The 14,644-nt window shown below is 46.6% G+C and overlaps 1 protein-coding gene across 1 annotated transcript, besides 5 other annotated features; it reads right to left on the bottom strand.

Annotated features, from left to right (window-relative positions):
• Positions 697-880: a silencer, noted in NCBI's record as "fragment chr12:120752165-120752348 (GRCh37/hg19 assembly coordinates)". NCBI's record gives its function as "represses an EF-1alpha promoter that drives an FKBP-Casp9 reporter gene in an ReSE screen in phorbol 12-myristate 13-acetate-treated (for megakaryocytic differentiation) K562 erythroleukemia cells {active_cell/tissue: K562(+PMA)}" and the evidence as "EXISTENCE:reporter gene assay evidence [ECO:0000049][PMID:32094911]".
• Positions 1,895-2,670: an enhancer, noted in NCBI's record as "H3K4me1 hESC enhancer chr12:120753363-120754138 (GRCh37/hg19 assembly coordinates)". NCBI's record gives its function as "activates a minimal SCP1, AML or CMV promoter by ChIP-STARR-seq in naive H9 embryonic stem cells {active_cell/tissue: H9 hESC(naive)}" and the evidence as "EXISTENCE:reporter gene assay evidence [ECO:0000049][PMID:30033119]".
• Positions 3,512-3,561: an enhancer, noted in NCBI's record as "active region_7138". NCBI's record gives its function as "activates an Ori minimal core promoter by ATAC-STARR-seq in GM12878 lymphoblastoid cells {active_cell/tissue: GM12878}" and the evidence as "EXISTENCE:reporter gene assay evidence [ECO:0000049][PMID:35858748]".
• Positions 3,602-3,951: an enhancer, noted in NCBI's record as "active region_7139". NCBI's record gives its function as "activates an Ori minimal core promoter by ATAC-STARR-seq in GM12878 lymphoblastoid cells {active_cell/tissue: GM12878}" and the evidence as "EXISTENCE:reporter gene assay evidence [ECO:0000049][PMID:35858748]".
• PLA2G1B (phospholipase A2 group IB) lies at positions 8,450-14,114 on the bottom strand. The gene is made up of 4 exons (NM_000928.3): positions 14,055-14,114; positions 12,196-12,355; positions 11,269-11,396; positions 8,450-8,652 (listed from the first exon to the last, which is right to left on the bottom strand). Exons 1-4 carry the CDS (start codon positions 14,086-14,088, stop codon positions 8,528-8,530), a joined length of 447 nt encoding a protein of 148 aa, NP_000919.1. The 5' UTR covers positions 14,089-14,114; the 3' UTR covers positions 8,450-8,527.
• Positions 12,011-12,070: an enhancer, noted in NCBI's record as "active region_7140". NCBI's record gives its function as "activates an Ori minimal core promoter by ATAC-STARR-seq in GM12878 lymphoblastoid cells {active_cell/tissue: GM12878}" and the evidence as "EXISTENCE:reporter gene assay evidence [ECO:0000049][PMID:35858748]".
• Positions 14,115-14,644: the final 530 nt, after the last annotated feature.

A 14,644-nucleotide genomic window follows, 5' to 3' on the forward strand; every position in this document is an offset into this window, starting at 1 on the left:
GACAGTCTCGCTCTGTTGCCCAGGCTGGAGTGCAGTGGTGTGATCTTGGCTCACTGCATCCTCTGCCTCCTGGATTCAAGTGATTCTCCTGCCTCAGCCTCCCAAGTAGCTGAGATTACAGGCACGTACCACTACACCTGGCTAATTTTTTATAGTTTTGGTAGAGACGAGGTTTCACCATATTGGCCAAGCTGGTCTCAAACTCCTGACCTCAAGTGATCTGCCTGCCTTGGCCTCCCAAAGTGCTGGGATTACAGGCGTGAACCACCGTGCCCGGGTGTTTTGTTTTGTTTTGTTTTGTCTTTGAGATGGAGTCTCGCTCTGTAGCCCAGGCTAGAGTGCAGTGGCATGATCTTGGCTCACTGCAACCTCTGCCTCCCAGATTCAAGCAATTCTCCTGGCTCAGCCTCCCGAGTAGCTGGGACTACAGGTGCCCACCACCATGCCCGGCTAATTTTTGTATTTTCAGTTCACCATGTTGGCCAGGCTGGTCTTGAACTCCTGGCCTCAAGTGATCCACCTGCCTTAGCCTCCAAAAGTGCTGGGATTACAGGCATGAGCCACCAAGCCCGGCCAGTGGTCATCTTTCCATGTCCTAAGTGCTATGGTATTGTGACTGATAGGCTGATGTTCACAAGCATTCCCTGGACCCTGCTCTTCGTTTATCTTTGCATTCACTTGTTTCATTTCTTTACAGATCCCTAAGGAGCATCCGTTTTTTCTCAAACTAATCAAAGCTCGCTGAGTGCAGCCTGTAGGGGGCAACAAATCAACACCTCTCTGCCAGCCCATTTCTCAACCCGGCAGCTTTCCCAGCCAAAGAGTTAAGGTCTAGGCTGAGGAGATTTGCCCCAGAACAAAGACTTTTTCAAAGAAGCAGCTGCATTCATTTCCTTTTTATCTCACCTGGCAGGAGAAATGGCCTGGGACATATGTAGGCCAGAGTGGTCTCTGGAGCGCCAACCCAAGGATCTCACTAATTTTGTGGGGTAAGGGTAGAAGGAAATGACTAAATTTATAATCCAAATGGTTAAGTGTCTTTAACTGAACCATTTTGATATAATTTTTGAAAAAATAAGCAATGGCCATGAATTAATTTTTTATAACCAAGAGATAAAGGAATCTTTCAAAAATAGCACAGCAGCTGGGCGTGGTGGCTCAAGCCTGTAATCTCAGCACTTTGGGAGGCCAAAGCGGGCGGATCACGAGGTCATGAGATCGAGACCATCCTGGCTAACACGGTGAAACCCCGTTTTTATTAAAAATACAAAAAAATGGGCCAGGCACAGTGGCTCACTTCTGTAATCCCAGCACTTTGGGAGGCCAAGACAGGCAGATCACGAGGTCAGGAGATCGAGACCATCCTGGCTAACACGATGAAACCCCTTCCCTACTAAAAATACAAAAAAATTAGCTGGGCGTGGTGGCGGGTGCCTGTAGTCCCAGCTACTGGGGAGACTGAGGCAGGAGAATGGCGTGAACCTGGGAGGCGGAGCTTGCAGTGAGCCGAGATCTTGCCACTGCACTCCAGCTTGGGCGACAGAGCGAGACTCAAAAAACAAACAAACAAACAAAATTAGCCAGGCGTCGTGGCAGGCGCCTATCGTTCCAGCTACTTGGGAGGCTGAGGCAGGAGAACGGTGTGAACCCGGGAGGCGGAGCTTGCAGTGAGCTGACATCGCGCCACTGCACTCCAGCTTGGGCGACAGAGCAAGACTCCGTCTCAAAAAAAATAAAAATAAAAAATAAAAAATAAAAATAGCACACCAGGGCCAGGCACAGCGGCTCACGCCTGTAATCCCTGCACTTTGGGAGGCATAGGCGGGTGGATCACAAGGTCAGGAGATGGAGACCATCCTGGCCAACATGATGAAACCCCGTCTCTACTAAAAATACAAAAATTAGCCAGGCATGGTGGGATGTGCTTGTAGTCCCAGCTACTCAGGAGGCTGACGCAGGAGAATCGCTTGAACCAGGGAGGCGGAGGTTGCAGTGAGCCGAGATTGTGCCACTGAACGGCCTGGGTGAAAGAGAAAGACTCTGTCTCAAAAACAAAACAAAACAAAACAAAAAAACCACACTAGGTATGTGGATTGTATGTTTATATATTTAATTATATATATATATATTTTTGAGACGGAGTCTCGCTCTTTCTCTTTTGCCCAGGCTGGAGTGCAGTGGCGCAATCTTGGCTCACTGCAAGCTCTGCCTCCTGGGTTCATGGGACTACGGGCGCCAGCCACCACGCCCAGCTAACTTTTTTGTATTTTTAATAGAGACGGGGTTTCGCTGTGTTAGCCAGGATGGTCTTGATCTCCTGACCTCGTGATCCACCCGCCTCAGCCTCCCAAAGTGTACCTGTTTGTCTTTTTTAAAAAAGATTGCAAATGAGGCTCGGTGGGAGGCCGAGGTGGGCAGATCACCTGAGGTCAGGAGTTCCAGACTAGCCTGGCCAACATGGTGAAAACTGTCTCTACTGAAAATACAAAAATTAGCCGGGCGTAGTGGCCAGTGCCTGTAACCCCAGCTACTCGGGAGGCTGAGGCTGAAGAATCGCTTGAGCAGAGGAGGCAGAGGCTGCAGTGAGCCAAGGTCATGCCACTGCACTCTGGCCCGGGCGATAGAGCAAGACTCCGTCTCAAAAAAAAAATTATATAGACACATATATATACATAAAATAATAATAATAGGCCCGGCACGGTGGCTTATGTGAGTCTGTAATCCCAGCACTTTGGAGGGCTGAGGCGGGTGGATCACCCGAAGTCAGGAGTTCGAAACCAGCCAGCCTGACCAACATGGTGAAACCCTGCCTCTACTAAAAATACAGAATTAGCTGGGCATGGTAGCCGGCGCCTGTAATCCCAGCTACTTGGGAGGCCGAGGCAGGAGAATCGCTTGAACCTGGGAGGCGGAGGTTGCAGTGAGCTGAGATAGCATCATTGCACTCCAGCCTGGGCAACAAGAGCAAAACTCCGTCTCAAAAAATAAAATAAAATAAAAATAATAGTAATAAAAAGTAAAAAAATAGAAAAAGATTACAAATCAAGGCTTGCTTAATGTAATAAAGACTTTCTCAAGAAAAATTAAAGTGCATTATCCTTTCCTCTCCTTCCCCTTAGGAAAACAGTATTTATCGAACATTTACTATACAACAAGCACTTAGGAAGCATTTACACAACATATTTGGACACTTAATTCCCACAACCCTATGATAAGAGCACTATTATTTCGGGTAACCTGCCCAAGGTCACCAAGAGGGTGACTAGGCCAGGAATGAAGGCCAGTCTGTCCAGTTCTGAGTTCGCTCTCGGACTTTCTGCTGTAGAAACCCGGTGGGGTAACAGCAGCTGTACCTGCGGAAGAAGGACAAAGCTCAAGAAACTTCCAGAAGTGACCCAGGCTGGGTTCTGAAAGATGAACATGCCTTCACGAGGTAGGAAAAGGGAGGAAACCACTCATGCAAAAAGCATGGCTGTTACACCACCAAATCTCTTCGGTTTTTTTTTTCCCTTCAATGTGGGGGTGGAAATTTAAGTGTAGATTTGGGGCGCCTCAGAGGCCTGTGGCTCGCCCAACATCCCCTTGCCTCTCTGCTTGGCCACCTCTCCTCTCAGCTCCCCTTTGTTCCCTGCACCCCACTTTCCCTACCCCCTAATCCGTCCCCGGGATAAAAGCAATGCAGGCGATGCCCACAGGAAACCGGCAGGAGGAGCTGGGTGACAGGGAAGAGCGACCCGGAGAGTCACATCCACGTGAGTTCGCCCTCTTTTCACACTCTAGCGCCCATTCTGTCCTTCCTGCTGGATTCTGGCTCAGGAGAAGAGCGCCGCCAGGACCCCAGGAAGCTGCAGACAGGAGCCGCTGACACCTCCACCTCACGCGGACGCCACCTAGTGTGACCATTACCAGCCACTGCGCCTGCGCAGACTCGGGTTTTCTGTGCGCGCCAGAGGGGCGGGGCCTGGGCCGGGAAGGGGCAGAAGTAGACCGACGGCTGGGCCGCCATTCACCAATAGAAAAGAGAGATCGAGAGCCACGTGCTCATAAGATATCCAATCACAATCACATCCTGTGGCGGCGGATTGGGGGGCGTGGACTAGAGGTTGATCGGGTTGGGCACACAGCATCACGTGACACGAAAAGGTAAATAAGGCCACGTGGCTTTTTCTCCTTGGCTTCGGCGAAACATTACGTCACACTACCGTCTCTGAACAATTATTTAATGAACTTATGTGATGCGCTAGACAATGTGAAGACAATGCGGTTGCTAGAAATTGTAATCTCTCCATCAAATTACTCTGTCCAGCTTATTTCCTTGTTTCTTCATTCAAATCATCCTAGACATTCAACTAGTTTTCCGTATCCTACTTTCATACAAATGCTCATTTAAAGATAATTAAGGGAATTTATTCTCTCTTTCCCAAGCCTTGATAATGAAAAAGAGGTAGGTTATTTTGTTGTTGGTTTTTTGTTTTCTTTTTTCTTTTTTTTTTTTTTTTGAGACAGGGTCTCATTCTATCACCCAGGCCAGAGTGCAGTCTCACTGCAGCCTCAACCTTCTGGGCTCAGGTGATACTCCCATCTCAGCCTCCCGAGTAGCTGGGACTACAGCCATGCAACACCTTGCTGATTTTTTGTAGAGACGGGATTTCACCGTGTTGTCCAGGCTGGACTCAAGCAAGCCTCAGCTTCTCAAAGTGCTGGGATTTACAGGCCTGAGCTACCACGCCCGGCCCAAGAGAGATTTTTACATCAGAGGATATCTTTAGAGCCTTTAGTAGCCCTGTGACTGCTCTCTCTCTCTCGTTTGTTCTGTCATCTAAATAAATAAATAAATAAATAAGAAGAAGTAAGCACCATTTTCCTAAAAGCCCACTTTTCTTCCATCCAACAGGGACTTGCAATTTCTTTCCACTGAAGAAATATTTTTTATGGCCTTCACAGTTCGTTGAAGATTAAGGCCAGGTCTAACTTGATTTTGCATCCCTTGAAATTCTTCATAGCACAATATGCAAAGAAGGGTTCTTCGGTTTATGCTTGTTGAATTTGAATTTGAGAATAGTCCCATTCTTGCCTGCCAAAGAATTAAAAAGACTTAAAAAGAATTAATTTTAATTAAAAAGAATTAAAAAGATAGCACTTCTCTGAATTATCTGGATTTGGGTTCCAAGGTCAGCTATGCCACCCAGGAATTAGTGACTTTTGGCAATCCATTGCATCTTTAAGCCAGTTTCCTCATCCATCAGATGTGGATATAACAGTACCTACAACTATAGAACTTCAAGGATGACAAGATAATTGTGCAAAAGACATGACACCGTCTGGAGCATACAGCATAATATATACAAGGATGCCAGTTTGAAGAGTAGGGAAGAAAGTCTCAGAGCAGACTGAATTGTAGACAGATACTAACACTAAATCATTGTCTTGTGGCCAGCCCCGAATACATTGTATCCTCAGCATTTTGTGTGGTGCCTGGCCCAGAGTAAGTGTTCAATAAATAATCATTGAATGGATGAATAAAATGAGGGACCGGGCGTGGTGGCTCACGCCTGTAATCCCAGCACTTTGGGAGGCCAAGTCGGGCAGATCACGAGGTCAGGAGATCGAGAACATCCTGGCCAACATAGTGAAACCCTGTCTCTAAAATACAAAAAATTAGCTGGGCGTGGTGGTGCGTGCCTATAGTCCCAGCTACTCAGGAGGCTGAGGCAGGGGAATCTCTTGAACCCGGGAGGCAGAGGTTACAGTGAGCCGAGATTGCGCCACTACACTCCAGCCTGGTGACAGAGTGAGAATCTGTCTCAAAAAAAAAATTATAAATAAATAAATAAATGAGGGAGAAATTATGCCAAAAGATAAGTCCACACACACTCCCTTCTTCAAATGGAAGGTCTTCTATTGCCCACCACATACCCAGAAATGGTGGCTGTTCTGTCAGTTTCCAGTGGTCTGAAACTGCTTAATGGTGCCTTTTGATAGTGGACAGAGTCTCACTGTGTCACCCAGGCTGGAGTGCAGTGGTGTTATCTTGGCTCACTGCAACCTCTTCCTCCCAGGTTCAAGTGATTCTTCTGTCTCAGCCTCCTGAGTAGCTGGGATTACAGGTGCACGCTACCATGCCCAGCTAAATTTTGTATTTTTTAGTAGAGATGAGGTTTTGCCATGTTGGCCAGGCTGGTCTCGAACTCCTGACCTGAGGTGATCTGCCCTCTTCGGCTTCCCAAAGTACTGGGATTACAGGCGTGAGCCACCATGCCTGGCCTCAACTTTGCTTTTCTGCTTCAGTTCCCTTCTCTGCCTCTCCCCACTTGCTCTGGTGAATTTCTTTTTTTTTTTTCTTTCTTTGGCCGAGTATCACTCTGTCACCCACGCTGGAGTGCAGTGGTGTGATCTCAGCTCACTACAACCTCAGCCTCCCTGGTTTAAGCCATTCTCCTGCGTCAGCCTCCTGAGTAGTTGGGATTACAGGCCTATGCCACCATACTCGGCTAATTTTTGTATTTTTTAGTAGAGACAGGGTTTTGCCATGTTGGCCAGGCTGGTCTCAAACTCCTGGCCTCAAGTGATCTGCCCACCTAGACTTCTCAAAGTCCTGGGATTACAGGCGTGAGCCACTGTCCCTGGCTTAGTTCTGGTGAATTTCAATGTAAATGTAGTCATAAATACTCATAGAGGAATTGGGCTGAAGTGACTTAGTGGTTAAAAGCTTGGGCACTGCCACCAGACAGACCTGGCCAAATCCTGATTTTGCCATTTGTGTGATCTTGGACAAATGACTTAACTTCTCTGAATTTTTAGTTCCACATCCATGAAATGGGAGCAAAAATATCAATATCACAGAGCTGGTTTGAACATTTAATGAGATGAGATGTGGAAAACTCCGAACAAGGAAGTATGCAGTAAGTGCTCCAGAAATGCAAGCTGTTATTGGTTTTTTGTTTTGTTTTGTTTTGTTTTGTTTTGTTTTGTTTGTGTTTTGTGTGTGTGTTTGTTTGAGATAGTGTCTCTCTCTGTCACTCAGGCTGGAGTGCAGTGGCGTGATCACAGCTCACTGCAGCCTCCAACTCCTGGGCTCAGGGGATCCTTCCACTTCAGCCTCCCTAGTAGCTTGAAACAGGGTCTCACTCTTTCACCCAGGCTGGAGTGCAGTGGTGTGATCATAGCTCACTGCAGCCTCAAACTCCCGGGATCAAGAGATCCTCCTGCCTCAGCCTCTTGAGTAGCTACGATCATAGGCGCGTGCCGCCATGCTCGGCTTGTTAATGTTTATTATATTTCATGACTACAGTGTCAAAATTAGCCTGTAGAGTGTGGTGAAGTCTTTTATTTAGAAAAGAAAGTCGTGGCCGTGTGCGGTGGCTCACGCCTGTAATCCCAGCACTTTGGGAGGCCGAGGCGGGCGGATCACGAGGTCAGGAGATCGAGACCATCCTGGCTAACACGGTGAAACCCCGTCTCTACTGAAAATACAAAAAATTAGCTGGGCGTGGTGGCAGGAGCCTGTAAACCCAGCTACTCGGGAAGCTGAGGCAGGAGAATGGCGTGAACCTGGGAGGCAGAGCTTGCAGTGAGCCGAGATTGCAGCACTGCACTCCAGCCTGGGCGACAGAGCGAGACTCCATCTCAAAAAAAAAAAAAAAAAAGAAAGTCATTGTAGAAAAATGGTTTAATACAGTTGAAAATGGAGGCAGAATCATGAGACGGGGGCAAGGTCTGGCTCAAACTAAAGCCTACCACTTCAGGCAGGGAAGGGCAGTGGTTCAGCATGTGTTTTCTGTTGTTAGACTTGCCGAGTTCAAATTCCTTCTCTGCTGCTTACTAGATGATAGCATTGGAAAAGTGACCTCTCCTATTGAGCCTCAGCTTAGGAAAATAAGATTTGCTAATAGCGCCAATACCTCACAGGGCTGTCAAGAGGATTTATGGACACACAGTCCTGGTACAGAGTAAATAATCAGTAGATGGTGATCGTTAATCATTACTCAGGTTTCAAGGTGCTTGCTTGCTTCCTGGAAGTGTCTTTCTAATTCAACTTAGCTTCCAAGGCTGGAAGAAATGATACTCACAAAAGACTAGGCAGAGTAGCCAGGCGCGGCGGCTCATGCATGTAATCCCAACACTTTGCGAGGCCGAGCCAGGCAGATCACTTAAGCTGAGGAGTTTGAGACCAGCCAGGGCAACATGGCGAAACTCTGTCTCTACAAAAAATACAAAAATTAGCCAGGCATGGTGGTGCATGCCTATGGTCCCAGCTACTCGGGAGGATGAGGCGGGAGGATTGCTTGAGCCCGGGAGGCGGAGGTTGCAGTGAGGCAAGGTGGCATCACTGCACTCCAGCCTGGGCCACAGAGCAAGACTCCACCTAGAAAAAATAAATACATAAAAATAAAAGAGTAGGCAGAGACCTAGTTTATAGACAGAGAATAAAACAATATCCAAACATGAGGTCTTTCAACAAGGTGCTTTATTGGAGAGTACAGTGTGAGATGAGGCAGATAGAGGTGATGCTTTTGAGAGGTGATATTCAACTCTGACAATACTTCTTGGTGTCCAGGTTCTTGTGTGCCTTGTTATATGGAGCTTTTGAAAAGCAGATGGCAGCGTTGCGGTCGCAGTTGCAAATGAAGGCCTCACACTCTTTGTTTTTGCCTGGAGAGGGATGAAAGGAGAGGACTGAGCCAAGGTGGACCCTGTTTTGTACAATCTGGGGCAAGAAGAATTAACTGGAATAAGCTGGCAGCCATTCCACTGATGCACATTTAGGGCTGACAGATTAAGTGAATACAAGTACATCAGGATGCCCAGTTAAATTTGACTTTCAGATAAACAATGAATGCAATATTTGGGACATATACCCCCCAAAAAATTATCCATTGCTTATCTGAAAGTCATATTTATCTGGGCATCCTGTGTTTTTTTGTTTTGTTTTGTTTTTAAGACGGAGTTTCCCTTTTGTCGCCTAGGCTGGAGTGCAGTGGCGTGATCTCAGCTCACTGCAACTTCTGCCTCCTGAGTTCAAGTGATACTCCTGCCTCAGACTCCTGAGTAGCTGGGACTACAGGTGCTCGCCACCATGCCCAGCTAATTTTTGTATTTTTATTAGAGAGGGTGTTTCATCATGTTGTCCAGGCTGGTCTCAAACTCCGGACCTCAAGTGATCCATTTGCCTCGGCCTCCCAAAGTGCTGGGATACAGGCGTGAGCCACCATGCCCAACCTAGTTTCTCTACTTTAAAGCATGTATTTTAAAAATTATGGAACATCCTTAAATGGAATACTACATAGACATTTAGAAAAATTAGGTATGCCTGCACATGGAAATTTTCCCAAATAAAAAAAGCTAGTGTATGCCCCAAAAATCTGGAGGAATATGTAACTGGTTATCTTTGGGTAGTAGGATTATAGATGCCTTCCACTTTCCATAATAGATATTTATGTAGAGTTTGAAGTTGCATTACTTTTGGCTTGTTTACTTTTATAACCAAAATAAACAATAAGATTACAGTTAAAATGCATTTAAACTTTATTACATATAATTTACGTATCTCTGCTTACCTTCAGGAATCTTATTAGTTTTGTTTCTCTCCGATCCTTTATTTTATTTATTTATTTTTTTGAGATAGAGTCTCGCTGTGTCGCCCAGGCTGGAGTGCAGTGGTGGGATCTCGGCTCACTGCAACCTCTGCCTCCCAGGTTCAAGCAATTCTCTTGCCTCAGCCTCCCGAGTAGCTGGGACTACAGGCATGCATCACTACACCCAGCTAATTTTTGTATTTTTAGTAGAGATAGGGTTTCACCATATTGACCAGGCTGGTCTCGAACTTCTCACCTCAAGTGATCCACCCACCTTGGACTTCCAAAGTACTGTGGTTACAGGCTTGAGTCACTGTGCCCAACTGAGTTATTTTTAATTAATATGAACAAACATCCTCTAATGCAGGTTTCTTGTCTTAGTTGCAAACATTAAAAAAAAACTGTGTGTGAGTGTGTGTGTGTGTGTGTATTTCTCTGGGGAGAGGGTTCATAGCTTTCATCAGATTTGTAAATTTGGCCTTCTAAAGTGGAGCAGGAGGATGTATAAGCAAATTAAGCCATATTATTCAGTGACTAAAATAGTAACAATGAAAAAACAGTAACAATAAAGGTTTGAGGCAATATGAAAAAGTCATAACAAGGTGATAAGTGAAAAAGCAGAATGCAAGATTGTATTTATTCTGCAAAGTTGTCAAGATTGTTTTAAAAAAAGAAAAAGAAAGTTTATATCTAGGCTGTGCATTCATCAATTATTTATTGAGCACCTACTATATGTCAGACACTGCTCTAGATCTGGGGATATAGCAATAAAGAAAATAGACAGTAATCGGCCAGGCACAGTGACTCACGCCTATAATTCCAGCACTTTGGGAGACTGAGGCAGGCAGATCACTTGAGGTCAGGAGTTTGAGACCAGCCTGGGCAACATGGTAAAACCCCATCTCTGCTAAAAATACAAAAAATTAGCCAAGCATGGTGGTGCACGCTTGTAATTCCAGCTACTCAGGAGGCTTAGGCAGGAGAATCGCTTGAACCCGGGAGGCAGAGGTTGCAGTGAGCTGAACGGAGGTTGAGGTGATGAAGTGAGACTCTGTCTCAAAAAAGAAAGGAAGAAAATAGGCAGTAATCCCTGTTCTGTGGATCTTACATTCTATTGGAAAGATGGAATGTAAAGAAATAAGTAGCCGCACATGGTGGCTCACCCCTGTAATCCCAGCACTTTGGGATGCCAAGGTAGGAGGATTGCTTGAAGCCAGGAGTTTAAGACAAGCCTGGCCAACGTAGTAAGACCCAGTCTCTACAAAAAAATTTTTTTAATTAGCCAGGCGTGGTGGTGCACGCTCGTAGTCCCAGCTACTTGGGAGGCTGAGGTCAGCAGATCCCTTGAGCTCAGGAGGTTGAGGCTGCAGTGACCTATGGTTGCACCACTGTGCTCATGCCTGGGTGACAGAGCAAGACCCTGTCTCTAAACAACAACAAAAAAAAACCCAAACTGTCACCACTTACAAGCTGTGTGATCTTGGGCAAATAGCTCAGCCTTCTGAGCCTCAGTTTTCTTATCTGTTAAGTGAGGATAATTGTACCTATCCCATAGTGTTGTTCTGAGGATTAAAGGAGACACTGCCCAGAACCAAGAAAATTAACACTAAATCATGGCTGTTGTTACTATTATTTCCCCCCGGCCTACTGAGAACCAACTAGAATTCATAGGTCAAGGAAGGGATAAACCTACTGCTACAGGTGATTGCCGAGCCAGAGCACGAGTATGAATAGGTGTGGGTGTACGGGTTGTCCAGCAGAAATTTACAGCTGTCCAGCTTCTTGGCCTGGTCATAGCAGTTGTCATGTGTCTGGCAGCACCTGGAAAGTGGGAGGGACAGCTGAGATAGGAGTAAGTGCAGAGCAATAGGTCAGCCCTCACCTGCCCACTCTCAGGAACAGGTGGGGATGACTTCGCCAAGATGCTTCAGGAGAAATGATCCTATGGCTTGAAAAAATATAAGTCCTTTTATCATATATTTATTGAAAGCATTTTTTTTTTTTGAGACAGAGTTGCTCTGTTACCCAGGCTGGACAGCAGTGACACGACCTTGGCTCACTGAAACCTCCAACTCAGTCTCCCAAGTAGCTGGGGTTACAGGCGCTCGCCACCATGTCCGGCTAATTTTTGTATTTTTTAGTAGAGACAGGGTTTCACCATGTTGGCCAGGCTGGTCTCGAACTCCTGACCTCAAGTGATCCGCCCGCCTCGGCCTCCCAAAGTGCTGGGATTACAGGCATGAGCCACCGCGCCTGGCCTGAAAGCGATTTTTAACATGGTTGCAAGAATACAGTAAAATCCTGTATTCAGAAGGTGCAGTGACAACCACTGCTAGAAAATGACACGTGGATAGTTGCTGTGATGTTTACTGTTGCTACATTCTGCCACTGGAGGGCAGCATCGCCCACTGTTTTGCACGTCGGTCATTGTTTCCATCTCTAACGGGGTGCGTTCGCTACAGGGTCCTCTTGGAACATATTTGTTTATTTGACAAGAGGTGAAAATATGTTATCCTTAGCAGATATGCAAGTCCCCTTTGTATGCCTCGTGAGATCCTTGGCGTGTGCCCCACCCCGCCCCCGGCAGGCACTCCAATTTTCCTGCAGGCGGATCACTTACTTGTCCAGTTCATCCACGGGGGTGCCTGAGCCCCCCAAGCCACAGTAGCAGCCGTAGTTGTTGTATTCCAAGAAGGGGTCACTCCCCGGGATCACGCACTTGATCATTTTGCGGAACTGCCACACGGCCCGAGGGCTGATGCCGCTGTCGGCGGCGGCCACTGCAAGAAGACATAGCCAGAGTTCAAATCGGTCTGCCAGCACCCCGGGGACACACTGCCTTCCTGCTCCCTCGGGTCCCACGCTGCCTCCCTGACCCCTGCCAGCTGCCTCCTCTGAAGACCGTTGGACCCAGGAACCTGGTAAAGTGAAAGTGGGTAGAGGTTTTTTTTTTTTTTTAATGAAAACTTTATATATATAAAGTTTATATCTTTGTGTGTGTGTATATATATATATATCTTCTTCTTTTTCTTCTTCTTCTTCTTCTGGGACCCTACCGCCTCAGCTAGGATTACAGGCATGTGCCACCCAGCTAGGCCTGATAGTTTTTTTTTTTTTTTTGAGATGGAGTCTTGCTCTGTTGCCCAGGTTGGAGTGCAGTGACACGATTTCAGCTCACTGCAAACTCTGCTTCCCGGGTTCACGCCATTCTCCTGCCTCAGCCTCCCTAGGTCAGATAGTTTTAAACTATCTGCACTGTTTATCCAGTGAATATTTATTGAGCACTTACTATGTGCCAGGCTCTGTCCTAGGAGCTAGAGATACAGCAGTGAACAGATATAATAATAATAATAATAATAATAATAATAATAATAATAATAATAATCTCTAACCTCATGGAGCTTACAACCTAGTGGGAGAGAAAAACAATAAATAATAAATGTGATAAGGCCGGGCACGGTGGCTCATGCCTGTAATCCCAGCACTTTGGGAGGCCGAGGCAGGCGGATCACAAGGTCATGAGATCGAGACCATCCTGGCTAACACGATGAAACCCCGTCTTTATTAAAAATACAAAAAAATTAGCGGGGCGTGGTGGCAGGCGCCTTTAGTCCCAGCTACTGGGGAGGCTGAGGCGGGAGAATGGCGTGAACCCAGCAGGTGGAGCTTGCAGTGAGCCGAGATCGCACCACTGTACTCCAGCCTTGGCGACAAAGCAAGACTCTGTCTCAATAATAATAAGAATAATAATAAATGTGATAAGTAAGGAAACTGGATACTGCATTAGAAAGGGGAAGAATAGAGCAGGATGAGGAGAATCTAAAAGGGAGGTCACCCAGCCTGGCCAACATGGTGAAAACCTGTCTCTACCAAAAAAAACACACAAAAAATTAGCTGGGCATGGTGGTGTGTGCCAGCTACTTGAGAGCTACAAGTCCCAGCTACTTGAGAGGCTGAGGCAAGAGAATTATTTGAACCCAGGAGATGGAGGTTGTAGTGATCTGAGATCACGCCACCGCACTCCAGCCTGGGCGACAGAGTGAGCCCCGTCTCAAAAATAAAATAAAGTAAAATAAAAATAAAAATTAAAATAAAATAAAATAAATGGGAGATTGGCCTAACTACTTAGTTGAGTAAGGTGGGAGGATCACTTGAGCCCACGAGTTGGAAGCTGTGGTGAGCTATGATCATGCCACTGAACTCCAGCCTGGGTGATAGAGCAAGACCCTGTCTGGAAAAAAGAAAATAAAGGCAAGCTTTCTTAGCTCAGGCAATCTGAGTTCAGACTTGCAGGTTGAAAAAGTGCCAGCCTTGAGGGAACCCCAATAGAGGAGCCCTTAAGCCCCACTGGGAACCTCGAATTGAGACTGCGGGGCTGGCCATCCCTGTTTGCTGTGGCCTGTGGCCCCCATTCCAGAGGAGTGAGATCTTAGCTCACTTGGGAGAGAAAGGCGGGTGGAGCCGGGGAGACTTGCCTACCTGTGAGCAGCACAGCTAGCACAAGGAGTTTCATCTTGCAGTCAAGGTGAGAAAAGAACTGAGATGACCAGTCTCAGGTATAGTCTTATAGTCAGTCTCCACACAACCCTGCCCAGATAAGGCTGGAGTGTTTGCTTTGCTCTTGGCTGAGTTTGGGGCTGGCCTTGAATCTGTCTGTTGCAGGAATGACCCTGACGATTTGCCAGCATGGGATCACTGGAAAATATGTTATGCATTTGTCCTTAGCAACTGTTAACCAAAGGGATGGTTTCTGGAGTTTTCAGATCTTACAATCTTGACCCTCATACCCACCACTTTGTACTCAGCCCAGCTTCACGGGCTGGTTGGGGAAAGCAAAGCCGTCAGTTCAGTCGGACGCTGGGATAAGGGAGACAAGAAGGAAGTGCAGCCTGGGCAACATAGAGAGACCTCATCTCTAAAAAAAAAAATGTTAACCAGGTGTGGTGGTGGATTGCACCTGTGATCCCAGCAACTCAGGAGGCTGAGATGGGAGGATCTCTTGAGCCAGGGAGGTCAAGGCTGCAATGAACAGTGATTGAGCCTCTGCAGCAGAGTGAGACCCTATTTCA

This window comes from Homo sapiens, chromosome 12 (assembly GCF_000001405.40).
Source record: "Homo sapiens chromosome 12, GRCh38.p14 Primary Assembly".
Lineage (NCBI taxonomy): Eukaryota > Metazoa > Chordata > Mammalia > Primates > Hominidae > Homo > Homo sapiens.

What these genes read in the sequence shown, in the direction of transcription:
- PLA2G1B (NM_000928.3), bottom strand. Translation starts at nt 14,088, where the DNA reads ATGAAACTCCTTGTGCTAGCTGTGCTGCTCACAG. An exon ending in CCCGTGGATGAACTGGACAA is followed by an intron (nt 11,397 to 12,195) that starts GTAAGTGATCCG and finishes CCCACTTTCCAG; the next exon opens with GTGCTGCCAGACACATGACA. An exon ending in CTCGGCAATCACCTGTAGCA is followed by an intron (nt 8,653 to 11,268) that starts GTAGGTTTATCC and finishes ATCCCTCTCCAG; the next exon opens with GCAAAAACAAAGAGTGTGAG.